The 14,552-nt window shown below is 42.7% G+C and overlaps 1 protein-coding gene across 36 annotated transcripts in view, besides 1 other annotated feature; it reads left to right on the top strand.

The window, feature by feature from the left end:
• The window catches only part of CLASP1 (cytoplasmic linker associated protein 1), a 311,687-nt gene that overhangs the window by 25,888 nt on the left and 271,247 nt on the right, over positions 1-14,552 (top strand). The gene's annotated exons all lie outside the window — the stretch shown is intronic.
• Positions 5,820-5,869: an enhancer, noted in NCBI's record as "active region_16468". NCBI's record gives its function as "activates an Ori minimal core promoter by ATAC-STARR-seq in GM12878 lymphoblastoid cells {active_cell/tissue: GM12878}" and the evidence as "EXISTENCE:reporter gene assay evidence [ECO:0000049][PMID:35858748]".

The raw sequence follows: 14,552 nt of genomic DNA, 5'->3' as shown, positions 1-14,552 counted from the left end.
GAAGAGGTATTACTTTCCAGTTTATCCTATGAGGACATTATTAGGCTGATACCAAAACCAGGCAAAAATGTCACAAGACAAGAAAACTACAGAACAGTATTCTTTATGGATATAGGTGTAAAATACCTCAACAAAATACTTGCAAACTGAACATAGCAACATATCGGAAGAATTCTGTACTGTGACCGAGTGGGAATTATCCCAGGAATGCAAAGTTGGCTTAATGTCTGTAAATTAACGTAACATGCCATGTAATAGAATAAAAGACAAGACCAACATGATCATCTCAATAGTGGCAGGAAAAACATTTGATTAAATCCAACATTGTTTCATGATAAAAAACATTCAACAAATTAGAAATGGAAGGGAACTTCCTCAGTGTGATAAAGGCCATCTTTGAAAACCTACAGCTAATATCATACTTAATGATGAAAGACAGAATGCTGTCCTAAGATTAGGAACAAGACATATAGTCTTTAATTTTTTAAAATTTATATATATATAGATATTGTTTATATAGACGGAGTTTTACTATGTTGCCCAGGCTGGTCTCGAACTCCTGAGCTTACGTGATCCACCCACCTTGGCCTCCCAAAGTGCTGGGATTATAGGTGTGAGCCACTGCGCTTGACCAAAACATGTATAGTCTCTTTGACACTTAGCTTTAACATTGTATTGGAGGTTCTAGCCGGGACAATTAGGGAAGAAAAAGAAAGAAAAGGCGTTCATATTGGAAAGGAAGTAAGATAATCTCTATTTGCAGATGGTATGATCTTGTATATAAAACATCCTAAGGAATGCACTATAAAACTGTTATGAGCTCCTCAAAGTTGCAGAATACGGGATCAATATACAGAAATTAATTTTATTGTTACACATTTACAATGAATAATTCAAAAGTGAAACCAAGGGAACAATTCCATTCACAGTAGCGTCAAAAAGAATAAAACATTTGGGAATAAAGTTAACAAAAGAAATGCAGAACTTAGATTCTTTTTTTTTTTTTTGAGACAGGGTCTCACTCGTCGCCCACGCTGGAGTGCAGTGGCATAGTATCAGCTCACTGCAACCTCTACCTCCTGGGCTCAAGTGATCCTTCCACCTTAGCCTCCTGAGTAGTTGGTACCACAGGTGTATACCACCACGCCTGGCTAATTTTTGTTTTTTTTAGAGACTAGGTTTCTCCATGTTGCCCAGGTTGGTCTCAAACTCCTGAATTCAAGTGATCCACCTGCCTCGACCTCCCAAAGTGCTGGGATTACAGGCGTGAGCCACTGTGCCTGGCCGGAACTTACATTCTGAACTATAAAACATCATTGAAAGATCTAAATAAATGGAAAGATACTCTATGTTCAGGGATTGGAAGACTTAATATTGTTATGATGGTAATATTCCCCATATAGATTTAGCACAATCCCTATTAAAATTCCAGGCCAGGTGTGGTGGCTCATGCCTATAATCCCAGCACTTTGGGAGGCTGAGGCAGGTGTGAGGTCAAGAGTTTGAGACCAGCCTGAACAACAACATGCTGAAACCCCATCTCTACTAAAAATACAAAAATTAGCTGAGCGTGGTGGTGCACGCCTGTAATCCCAGCTGGTTGGGAGGCTGAGGCAGGAGGATTGCTTGAACCTGGGAGGCAAAGTTTGCAGTAAGCCGAGATCACGCCACTGCTCTCCAGCCTGGGTGACAGAGTGAGACTCCGTCTCATAAACAAACAAACAAACAACAAAAAAACCCAGTTGCCTAGTTTGCAGAAATTGACAAGCTGATCTTAAAACTCATGTAGAAATGCAAGGGACCCAGAATTGCCAAAACAATCTTGAAAAAAAGTTGGAGGACTTTCATAACTTACTACAAAGTTACAATAATTGAGACAATCTGATACTGGCATAAAGATAGACATATAGATCAATGGCATAGAATGAGAATCCAGAACTAAACCCTTCTGTTTATGGTCAATTGATTTTCAACAAAGTGCAAGGACAATTAGGTGGAGAAAGAATAATCTTTTTCAACAAATGATGGTGGTACAGGTCCACACAACAAAAAAAGGAATTTGGACCCTTACCTCACTTATATATATATAAATTCAGAATTCATCATAGACCTAAATGTAAGATCTGAAACAATAAAACTCAGGCTGAGCCTAGTGGGTCATACCTGTAATCCCAGCACTTTGGAGGCCAAGGTGGGAGGATCGCTTGAGCCCAGGAATTCAAGATCAGCCTGGGCAACATAGTGAGATGCCATCTCTATTAAAAAAGAAAAAAACAACTCTTAGAAGAAAACATGGTTGTAAATCTTCATGCCCTTGTATTACAGAATGGTTTCTTTTTTCTTCTTTTTTTTTTGATACAGGTTCTCACTCTGTCGCTGAGGCTGGGGTACAGTAGGGGGATCGCAGCTCACTGCAGCCTTGACTTCCTGCTGGGCTCAACAATCCTCCTACTTTAGCCTCCCGAGTGGCTGGGACTACAAGCATGTACCAATTAATTTTTGAATTTTTTATAGAGATAGGGTTTGCCACATTGCCCAGGCTGGTCTCAAACTCGTGAGCTCAAGCAGTCTGCCCGTCTCGGCCTCCCAAAGCTGCCGGGATTACAGGTGTGAGCCACCGTGCGTGGCTTCTTCAGTATGACACCTAAAACATAGGCACTGAAAGAAAAACAGGTAAATTGATATTAATTGAAACAGAAAACCTTTTTTTCAAATGGCACCATCAAGAAAATGAAGACATCCCAGAATGAGAAAAAATATTTGTCATATATCTGATAAAGGACTTTTATCCAAAATATATTTTAGAAATTCTTAAAATCAACAGTAAAAAGACACATAACCCAGTTAACAAATGAGCAAAGGATTTGATCAGATACTTCTTCAAAGATGCTGTCCAAATGGCCAGTACATCCATGAAAAGAAGTCAAGGCCGGGCGTGGTGGCTCATGCCTGTAATCCCAGCACTTTGGGAGGCCAAGGTGGGTGGATCACTAAGTCAATAGATCGAGACCATCCTGGCCAATATGGTGAAACCCCGTCTCTACTAAAAATACAAAATTTAGCTGGGCGTGGTGACGCGTACCTGTAGTCCCAGCTACTTGGAATGCTAAGGTGGGAGAATTGCTTGAACCCCGGAGGCAGAGGTTGCAGTGAGCCAAGATTGCGCCACTGCACTCCAGCCTGGCAACAGAACGAGACTTCATCTCAAAAAAAAAGAAGCTTAGTATCCTTAGTCCTTAGATGAAAATCACAACCACAATTAGATGCCACTTTGATTATAGATAATTTCTGATCCCTAATCAGACATGTGCCACTGGCCCTGCTAATTCTGGGTAATTTCTTTTTTTTTTTTTTGAGACAGAATCTCGCTCTGTTGCCCAGGCTGGAGTGCAGCGGCACGATTTTGGCTCACTGTGACCTCCGCCTCTGGGTTCAAGCAGTTCTCCCACCTCAGCCTCCTCAGTAGCTGGGATTACAGGCATGCGCCACCACTCCCGGCTACTTTTCATATTTTTAGTAGAGATGGGGTTTCGCTATGTTGGCCAGACTGGTCTTGAACTCCTGACCTCAGGTGATCCACCCACCTGGGCCTCTCAAAGCTCTGGGATTACAGATCTAAGCCACCAAGCCCAGCCCTGGATAATTTCTAACAGATATAAAAGTAAAGAGATTATAACAAACCCTGGAATGCCCATCACCAAGCTTCAGCAGTTCTCAGTGGATGTCCATCTTGTTTCATCTTTGAGGGAGTTTCAAGGAGTAGAAAAAAATAGAAGCAATTTTAATCCCAATAGCCTAAACCTACCACAGGAGGAGAAAAAATAGAATGAAAACTATGTTCTACTTTTACAGTTCACATTTAGGGAAAAATATGTTTAAAATATCTGAGAGGATTTTTAAAATTTACTTTATTAAAATACTAGTGAAGGCAAATTCTAATCATGAGTACCTTATCTGACACCTGTGTAGTATTTGTTTCTATTATTTTCTGATGGCAAGTGTACTGTAATGCAGTTGCCTTTTTGTTGTTGTTGTTTGTTTTTGCAGTTATTTGTGTTGACCAGCCTATAGTTTTTTACAACATGTTTTTGTGGAAATAACTGATCTGCCAGCTGCATTTTCTTAGGAATTTTTTTCTTATCATTTACTTCACTATGTTCTGTAGTGTTGAAAGGTAGATTTCCCTCCACTATGAAATGATAGTGCCTGAGTTTTGAATACTATTTTTCTAATTGTGATTATAAAAGTAATATGTATTCATCATAGAAAAAATTTGGAAAACACAGGAAAGCATAAAGATAAGATTAAGGGGCCTGTAATTTTATCAGCTGAAAGTTAACCAATGTTAATGATTTTGTTTTGTTGTTCAGGTGACCTGCCTTTTTAATGTAATGTGGTGAGCTTGAACCTTTTATTCATTTTGGTGCTTTTACATTGTGTTTGGATTTTGTCGTAATTACATTGTAGTTAATCATTGTGCACACTGGAGTGAGGGATAGAGAATGAGAGAAAATTAGTTTAACTCTGATTTTTTCCCTACTGCAGAATATTCTTGAGTATACTTGAGTAATTCCAGCTTTTAATGATCTTTCCAAGGTACACAATTATATATCCATCCAGTTTCTAGATTCTCCAGTTCAGAGATGACTTGTATAGATTTCCCTGCAAGACCAAAGCACTGTTGACTTTTGGTGCAAGAAATGGACTGTTGGGCCTTATTTCTGTACAGTCTTTCTGTTGTATGCCTGACTGGTATTTTACAGGCTTTTCGAGAATTATTTCATCTTCTTAGTATCTAGAATTACAGAGCTAGAGAACTCTAGTAGAATTTCTAGTATTTGTTAATTGAAATAAAAACATCAAATTAAGAATTTAGAAACACTTTTTATATTATTTTTGCATTAAAAAATTCATAATACATTCATAATGCATAAAGGTAAGCTTGAAAAATATGAATACTTTCTCAGTATTAAAACATATGAATATGATATTTTGTCTGTATAGATAATTCTTGGTGTATGTATGGAATAATTATCAGACATCCTTCTAATAAGTTTCCCCTTTCATCCCAGGAGTGAGGATCAGCAATGTTTACAGGTTGGGAACCAGTTCTGTGATCTTTCTAGACTGCTTGTTTCCTCTGAACAGGCCGCACACTCTTGCGTCTGTGCTTTGTCCATATGTATTTGCACATTCCTTTTACTTGTGATGTTTTCTACCTTCTCCCTTACCTCTACTTCTAAGAAAGAATGGAACTCAACTTATGACTGCCAGTGACTGTTTGTCCTTTGATTTTCAGCCCAAGCAAACTTTATTCTTTGGACGAGTATTTCTGGAGTACCTTGTTTGCAACAGGCATTATAGGCATTAGGTGAACAAAATATAGTTAGGTCCCTACCTTCTTGAGGCTGACAGTCCTGTTGGGAAATCAGACAGTAAATACGTGGTAGAATTGCACCTTAAGTGCTTGAAAGTAGAGAACAGCATGCAGTGACAAGGGAGTACCCCTAGAATGGCCTTCCAATGGGTCTCTGAGGAGCTAGCATTTGAGCTGAAGTCTGAAAGATGAAAAAGAATAGCCGGGCCAATATAGGTGTAAGGAGAGTTTTTGGCAGAAGGAACAACATAAGCAAAAGCCCTGAAGTAGTAAAGAGTTTGGAACCAAAAGGAGGCCAGCGTATATGACTAGAGCTCAGAGGTATTTGGCTTGGAGATACAAATTTGGGAGACATCAGTTTATAAGCATGGGAATGGATGCTGGTTATTTTGGAGTGAGCAGTGTGAGGGGACAAGAGGCATTGGACTGAGCCCACCAACAGAGATCTGGAAGGTGGGTAGAGATGAGAGATGAATTAGTAGATGCAACCAGAGAAGTAGCAAGAAGGCATAAGCATTTGTTTTCACACAAGTAGGGAATTTTTGAAGAAGGAAGGGGCGATCGACTTTGGATTGCTGCTGAGTGGTGTAGTTTGTTAAGTACAGAAAAGTCTTCCTTGGATTTGCCAACATGGCTGTCACTGGTGATTCTGACAAGAGCTGCTCTTGTGGAGTGAGCAAGTGAAGCCAGATCAGAGGGTCTGTGGAGGGGACAGGAAGTGTGCATCAGTGGAGCTGGCTGGTGTAGACAACGGCTTAAAGAAGCTTCACTGTTGATGGTGTCATTGATGAAAGGCATGTGAGCTCAAGAGAGGGCCTTTGTAAGATGAGTGATTTAGAGGACATTTACAAGCTGCTGGGAATGAGCTAGCGGAGGAGAGATCGCTGATTCCTGGGAGCAGACAACTGGAAGGTTATAGGTCTGAGGAGGCAGAAAGGAGGAGTTGTTGTCATCTGTGTGGGTGCTGAAACCATTAAGGAAGCTGAGAGGAGATAGGGAGGGAGTCAGGGAGACTGGAGTGTGAGTCTGCAGTGGAAGACAGGGAAGGACCTGTGACTGACAAATGAAAGCTGGGGCTGCCCCGGTGCTGAGCTGCTTGGTGCTTAGCTTAGTTGGTAGGTGCAGTGCCCCATCCTTGCAATTCCCAGTTGAAGCATTACTGAGTTCCCTCAGGCAGTTTTATCTTCCTTCCTCTTCTACCTACAGCATTTTCTGCAAACTTCTGGTTTAAGACTTGTCCCCATACTATTTTGACTGTGTTTGTCTCTTTCTTCTTTCAGGCAGTGACCTTCTTGAAGGCCTTGATGAAGTCTCTACAAAGTTTTGTGATTTTTAGTAGTTAGCATAGTTCAATACCTGTCAGAGTAAATGCTTGCTCACTGAGTGAATGTGTGGGCCTCAAAATGAGTGGGACAGTGGGAGGGAGAAAAAAGAGAAGGAAAGGACAGAAGGAACAGGTAGACTAAGAACAGACTTCCTGCTGGCAGGGCATGGCAGCGCGTCTTTCTTCGTTTTCGATCATATTGTAATTGTTGCAGAAATCATCCTAATACAGAAAAGATTGTCTTATTGATAGAAATATGCTGACTTAGTGTGAGTAGATCCTGCTAATTTCTGGCTTTAAACTATCATACCTTCTTTCTGGCATGAAACTACCATACCTTCTTCCAGAACTGGCTTTAAATTATCAACCTATTGGCTTTAAATTTCAACCCTGTTTTCCAGGGAGATTTTTATTTTTTATTTTTTTGAGACAGAGTTTTGCTCTTTGTTGCCAGGCTGGAGTGCAATGGTGCAATCTCTGCTCACTGCAACCTCCGCCTCCCAGGTTCAAGCGATTCTATTGTCTCAGCCTCCCGAGTAGCTGGGATTACAGGCGCCTGCCACCATGCCTGGCTAATTTTTGTATTTTTAGTAGAGACGGGGTTTCACCATGTTGGCCAGGCTGTTCTCGAACTCCTGACCTCAGGTGATCCACCCGCCCTGGCCTCCCAAAGTGTTGAGATTACAGGCGTGAGCGACCGCACCTGGCCCCAGGGAGATTTTTTAATGTGGTTATTGATTAACTGGTGCTGGTAATTTAATTCCTTCTTGATACTCTGGTATGGAATATTATTTTATTAAGGCTTCTTGAACTCCTTATTTATGATTTGACTTCGTGTTTCTTAATTTTCTCCTTCTTACGCCCCACATGCTGTAGCTGAAACATTTTCATGTTTCAGTTAGTAAATGCCCATGCTTTGAACTTTCAATGAAGCTGTAGTATAGTGAAAAGAACACAAACTTTGGGGCCAGGCAGATCTGGTTTTGAATTATTGCTTGACAGCTATTAGTTTTAAAACCTTAGGCAGGTTTTTTTGTTTGTTTTTGTTTTTTTTAATTTATTTGTTAATTGTATTTTATTTATTTTTTTTGAGACAGAGTCTTGCTTTGTCACCCAGGCTGGAGTGCAGTGGCACGATCTTGGCTCACTGCAACTTGCACCTCCTGGGTTCAAGCAATTCTCCTGCCTTACCTTCTTGAGTAGCTGAGATTACAGGCGTGTGCCACCACACCCTGCTAATTTCTATATTTTTAGTGGAGACAGGATTTTGCCATGTTGGCCAGGTTGGTCTCGAACTTCCCCGCCCACCTCAGCCTCTGAAAATGCTGGGATTACAGGTTTGAGCCACCGCACCCGACCTGTTTTTGTTTTTTTAACCTTTCTGAGCTGCATTTCTTATCTTCAAAATGAGAATAATAATGCCTACTTATCTCACAGGTATCTCACTATGTCTGCCATACCACTCTTCACCTCCCTCATTTTACTTATGCTGTTTTTCCTTAAGTGCTGTAACTATTTTTTTTTTGTTTTTTTTGAGATGGAGTCTCATTCCTGACGCGCAAGCTGGAGTGCAGTTCCGTGATCTTGGCTCGCTGCAACCTCCACCTCCCGGGTCCAAGCGATTCTCCTTCCTCAGCCTCCCAAGTAGCTGGGATTACAGGCGTGCGCCCTATGCCCGGCTAATTTTTGTATTTTTAGTAGAGATGGGGTTTTGCCATGTTGGCCAGGCTGGTCTCGAACTCCTGACCTCAGGTGATCTGCCCACTTTGGCCTCCCAAAGTGCTGGGATTACAGGCGTGAGCCACTGGGCCTGGCCACCATAACTATTAAATGCACATCCTAGCCACATTTTAACACAAAGCTCAAGCTGAATCTTGTTTATATAGTTTTGACTTGGTCATTCCAAGCCTTCTTAATCCATTCCTTCCTCTGAATTTTCATAGTGCTTATTCACGTTCCTTATTTGGCAGGTGCAGTATTTTACTTGTTAAATCTACTAGTTATACATCTCGTGTTTGTGTTGACCTCCGACATTGACAGGCCTTTTCTGTGTATGTATGTCTTGTCCTCTCTGAGTATGCTGGAAACTCTTTCAAGTGAAGTCATAGACTATAGTTATTTCTTTAGTATATTCTATAGTGAGATTTTATATTTGATAAATTGATGAGTAAATAAAAGTGATTCAGACAGACTGGTAATGGATAAACAGGGTATATGAATATATTCGCTCCATCCATTTATTCATTCTACAAATACCCATTGAGTACATACGTGTTAGATTGAAAAACACGTCACAGTATTTTGTAGCTCCTCCTATTGATTGGTAGAATCCATTTCCTCACACTTTTGTTTTTGTTTTTTGTTTTGTTTTGTTTTTTGAGACAGAGTCTCACTCTGTCGCCCCAACTGGAGTGCAGTGGTGTGATCTCAGCTCACCACAAACTCTGCCTCCCAGGCTCAAGTGATTTCCCTGCCTCAGCCTCTTGAGTAGCTGGGATTACAGGCGCACACCACCACGCCTGGCTAGTTTTTATATTTTTAGTAGAGATGGGGTTTCACCATGTGGACCAGGCTAGTCTCGAACACCTGACCTCAGGTCATCCACCTGCCTTGGCCTCCCAAAGTGCTGGGATTATAGGCGTGAGCCACCGCGCCCGGCTTCCTCACACTTTTAATGCGGACTGGCCTTGTGACTTGCTTTTACCAATAGATTGTGGCAGAAGTAACATGCAAACTGTGGATCCCAGGTCTCAGGAGTCCTGGTAGCCTCCCCCTTTGTCATCTTGGAGTGCTCCAGCCACTACATGATGAGCTCTAGGCTATGCCACTGAATGGTTAGAGATCATGTGTGGAGAGAGGCCCAGCCAACAGCCAGCACCAGAGTCCCAGACATGTGAGTGACACCATTGTAGAGCCTTCAGCTGCAGTAAAAATGCCAGATGACTCAACTGCATGAATGATCCCAGGAAAGACTAGCACAAGATCTTCCCAGCTGAGCCCAGCCACCTCGTAGACTTATGGGAAATATTAATTCATTATTGTTTTAAGCTACTAAGTATAAATGGTCCTCCTTTTAATTTCTTACAAAGAAGTCTACAGTAGACTAAAAAAGTTGTCAGAGCTTATGATTGATTCTCTTCTTTCCATCCCCCATTGTTAATAGTTCTTTACTGATAGTGTGTGTAAGTGCCACAGGTAGATATGGTAATTAAGGGGCTGGAGATAGGTGCTATTTTTTTTTTTTAAAAAAAAAGGCTTTGTGCATGTGCTTTTTCATTCTTAATCTTATTTGATGCATGCTAGAGCTGGTATTCTCCACAGTGCCACTTGGGAGTCAAGACCAGAGGCCAAAATTCCCAACTTGATGCCTCTTTTCATTACATCAAGATGTCTTTTTTTATTGTGTGTTCCTTCCTTCTTGTTGAAGTTGGTATTTTTAAACTTCTTCCTGTTGACCTGCAGCAGAGTTGGTCCATTGTTCTGGTTCCTCTGATAATTTCTACTTTCCAGGGTACTATAAAGGAGCATGACTAGGACAATTGTCTTGACCTTTTATTGTTTTGGCCCTGTGGACCAAGATGATGTGACAGGAAAAGGTTGAGATGCTTGGAACCTAACTACTGTAGTGGGGGCAGAGAATGTTGATGTTGGAGAATGAAAGGGGTTTGGGTTTGGGAAGAGTTGGACCATTTTTTCAGAAATATCCAAAATGTGTCCCTTTTCTCAGGTGACTGATACAGTGACATTTAGTGTGTTCAGTAGCCTTCATAGTAGATCTTGCTAAAGGAGAAAACTTTTCCTGATGAAGAAGAATAAAGATGTTTTGCTATTGTCACCTCCTCTACTGTTTCTTCTGTATCATTTTAATGTCTCTCATATTCTTTTGGAAAATTATGAAAATTGAACTTTTTTTTAAACTCAGAAATAGTGTTACATTCTGAATAATCTTTGATGTCAACACTGCTGTAAGGTAATTCTTCTCTGTAACACTGCTCTTTTGAATGATGATTATAGAACTGACTGCAGGGATTGTAAACAGTAGTTCATAATCTCACTAAAGGCAGGCAAGGGCTGAGTCCTGTTTATGTTTGTATCGCAGTGCCTCCCATTGTGTCTTAAATATAATAGACTAATAGACCTGGTTTTTACTTAGCTCAGGCATAGGTGACCACTGGTTATGGTTAACTTTAGACCTAGGTTTCCTTATTCTACTTTTCCCTCATGGAGAGCCTGGGCAGGACATGGGTGGATGGAAGAGAGTTTTACTTCCTCCTCCAGCTCCATCAGCTCCTCTTCTTCCCCCTCCTCCAACTTCTCTAACTTCATCTCTTCTTTTTCTCCTTCTCTTCCAACTCCCTCAACTCCTCCTCCTCTTTTCCCTCTCCAGCTTTTCTAATTCCTCCTCTTCCTTCCACTTTTCCTCCTCCTCCAAGTCCTCCTCCTCTTTCAATTCTTCCAAATCCTCCTCCTCCAACTCCTCCAATTTCTCCTTCTCCAGTTCCTCTTTCTCCTATAATTCCTCCTCCTCATGCTGCTCTTCCTCCTGTAACTCCTCTTCCTCATACTCTTCTTCTTGTAACTCCTCCTCCTCCTCTAGTTCCTCTTCCTCCTATAACTCCTCCTCCTCATGCTCCTCTTCCTCCTATAACTCCTCCTCCAGCTCCTCTTCTGCCTGTAACTCCTCCTCCTCATCCTCTTCCTCCTGAAACTCCTCCAACTCCTCCTCCTCCAGTTCCTCTTCCTCCTGTAACTCCTCCTCCTCCTCCAGTTCCTCTTTCTCCTGTAACTCCTCCAACTCCTCCTCCTCCAGTTCCTCTTCCTCCTGTAACTCCTCCTCTTCCAGTTCCTCTTCCTCCTGTAACTCCTTCTCCTCCTCCTCCAGTTCCACTTTATCCTGTAACTCCTCCAATGCCTCCTTCTCCAGTTCCTCTTCCTCCTGTAACAACTCGTCATCAACCTCCAGTTCCTCTTCCTTCTGTGACTCCTCCTCCTCCTCCAGTTCCTCTTTATCCTGTAACTCCTCCAATGCCTCCTCCTCCAGTTCCTCTTCCTCCTGTAACTCCTCCTCATCATCCTCCAGTTCCTCTTTCTCCTGTAACTCCTCCTCCTCCTCCAGTTCCTCTTTCTCCTGTAACTCCTCCAACACCTCCTCCTCCAGTTCTTCTTCCTCCTGTAACTCCTCCAACTCCTCCTCCTCCAGTTCCTCTTCCTCCTGTAACTCCTCCAACTCCTCCTCTTCCTCCAGTTCCTCTTCCTCCTGTAACTCCTCCAACTCCTCCTCCTCCAGTTCCTCTTCCTCCTGTAACTCCTCTTCCTCCTCCAGTTCCTCTTTCTCCTGTAACTCCTCCAACTCCTCCTCCTCCAGTTCCTCTTCTTCCTGTAACTCCTCCAACGCCTCCTCCTCCAGTTCCTCTTCCTCCTGTAACTCCTCATCATCCTCCAGTTCCTCTTTCTCCTGTAACTCCTCCTCCTCCTCCAGTTCCTCTTTCTCCTGTAACTCCTCCAACACCTCCTCCTCCAGTTCCTCTTCCTCCTGTAACTCCTCTTCCTCCTCCAGTTCCTCTTTCTCCTGTAACTCCTCCAACTCCTCCTCCTCCAGTTCCTCTTCCTCCTGTAACTCCTCCAACGCCTCCTCCTCCAGTTCCTCTTCCTCCTGTAACTCCTCCACCTCCTCCTCCTCCAGTTCCTCTTCCTCCTGTAACTCCTCCAACTCCTCCTCCTCCAGTTCCTCTTCCTCCTGTAACTCCTCCTCCTCCTCCAGTTCCTCTTTCTCCTGTAACTCCTCCAACTCCTCCTCCTCCAGTTCTTCTTCCTCCTGTAACTCCTCCAACTCGTCCTCCTCCAGTTCCTCTTCCTCCTGTAACTCCTCCAACTCCTCCTCCTCCAGTTCCTCTTCCTCCTATAACTCCTCCTCCTCCTCCAGTTCCTCTTCCTCCTGTAACTCCTCCTCCTCCTCCAGTTCCTCTTCCTCCTGTAACTCCTCTTCCTCCGCCAGCTCTCCTTCCTCCTGTAACTCCTCCTCCTCCTCCAGTTCCTCTTCCTCCTGTAACTCTTCCTCCTGCTCCAGTTCCTCTTCCTCCTGTAACTCTTCCTCCTCCTCCAGTTCCTCTTCCTCCTGTAACTCTTCCTCCTCCAGTTCCTCTTTCTCCTGTAACTCCTCCTCCTCCTTCTCCAGTTCCTCTTTCTCCTGTAACTCCTCCAACTCCTCCTCCTCCAGTTCCTCTTCCTCCTGTAACTCCTCCTCCTCCTCCAGTTCCTCTTCCTCCTGCAACTCCTCCTCCTCCTTCTCCAGTTCCTCTTCCTCCTGTAACTCCTCTTCCTCCTCCAGCTCCTCTTCCTCCTGTAACTCCTCCTCCTCCTCTAGTTCCTCTTCCTCCTCCAGCTCCTCTTCCTTCTGTAACTCCTCCTCCTCCTCTAGTTCCTCTTCCTCCTGTAACTCCTCCTCCTCCTCTAGTTCCTCTTCCTCCTGTAACTCCTCCTCCTCCTCCAGTTCCTCTTCCTCCTGTAACTCTTCCTCCTCCTCCAGCTCCTCTTCCTCCTATAACTCCTCCTCCTCCAGTTCCTCTTCCTCTCATAACTCCTCCTCCTCCTCCAGTTTCTCTTCCTCCTGTAACTCCTCCTCCTCAGGCTACTCTTCCTCCTGTAACTTCTCCTTCTCCTCCAGCTCCTCTTCCTCCTGTAACTCCTCCTCCTTCTTCTCTCACTCCTCCACGTCATCCTTTTTCCCTCTTATTTTCTAAGTTTTCTGCATTTTAAAATACAATTATTTTTTGATTTCTCTTTTTATGATTTAATTGCAAATGTTTAGAAAAACCTTCCTAGAAGATTCAGGGAGGAGAACACATATTTATTTGTTTTGATAGCTGAAAATATTTCTGAAAAGATACATGGGAAACTGGTGACATTACTTGCTTAATTTTTATTTATTTATTTTTTGAGACAAAGTCTCTCTCTGTTGCCAGGCTGGAGTGCAGTGGCGTGATCGGCTCACTGCAACCTCTGACTCCCTGCTTCAAGCGATTCTCCTGCCTCAGCCTCCCACGTAGCTGGGATTACAGGCACGTGCCACCATGACCAGCTAATTTTTGTATTTTTAGTAGAGACAGGGTTTCACCATGTTGGCCAGGCTGGTCTCCATCTCCTGACCTCATGATCCGCCCGCCTCAGCCTCCCAAAGTCTTGGGATTACAGGCTTGAGCCACTGCGCCCGGCCATTACTTGCTTTTAAGGAGAGAAACTGGGTGGCTGGGAGGGTCAGGGGTGGAAGGCAGGTCTTGCACTTTTGTACCTTGTGAATTTGGAACTATGTGATTAATATTCCCTGAAAATAGAGATGTAGAAAACACACAAAAACATGAAAAAAGTCCAAAAACATCAGTTTAATAAGAATAAGTGTAAGAGAGAATAGTTACCTTTTTTAAATTAAGAAGAAAAAGAAGAGAGAATTCAATCTGCTTAAAGCCTAGGGGCTTCCAGTCTCTTTCATTCTTTGCATTTCGTTGATAGGAATTTGTGACCTGTTTTTGAGTGTACTAAGCCTTTGTTGCATAATTACGTTCAAGAAGCATATGCTTATTTGTTAGAAATCTTATACAATTATGGTTGAAGGGGAGGTTTTCTTATGATATATATTTATAAATCACAGTAGGGAGACTTGAACGAATGGGAACTTTCCTAGTGTTTACTTAAGGAATAGAGACCTTGCTCTCTTGCCTGTTGCTTCCTGTCTAAACAGGAAATCTGACCTCTTGAGTCAAAACAGAATTAGGCTAAGACTTCTAATAATGTTTTCAAGGTGGGGAAAGGAAACTCATTGTCCATGCAACCTTGGAAAATTACTTATCTATACTT

The sequence above is a fragment of the Homo sapiens genome, chromosome 2 (genome assembly GCF_000001405.40).
Source record: "Homo sapiens chromosome 2, GRCh38.p14 Primary Assembly".
NCBI classification, from domain to species: domain Eukaryota; kingdom Metazoa; phylum Chordata; class Mammalia; order Primates; family Hominidae; genus Homo; species Homo sapiens.
The sequence above is the reverse complement of the archived record's forward strand: the minus strand, read 5'-3'. Positions and strand labels throughout refer to the sequence as shown.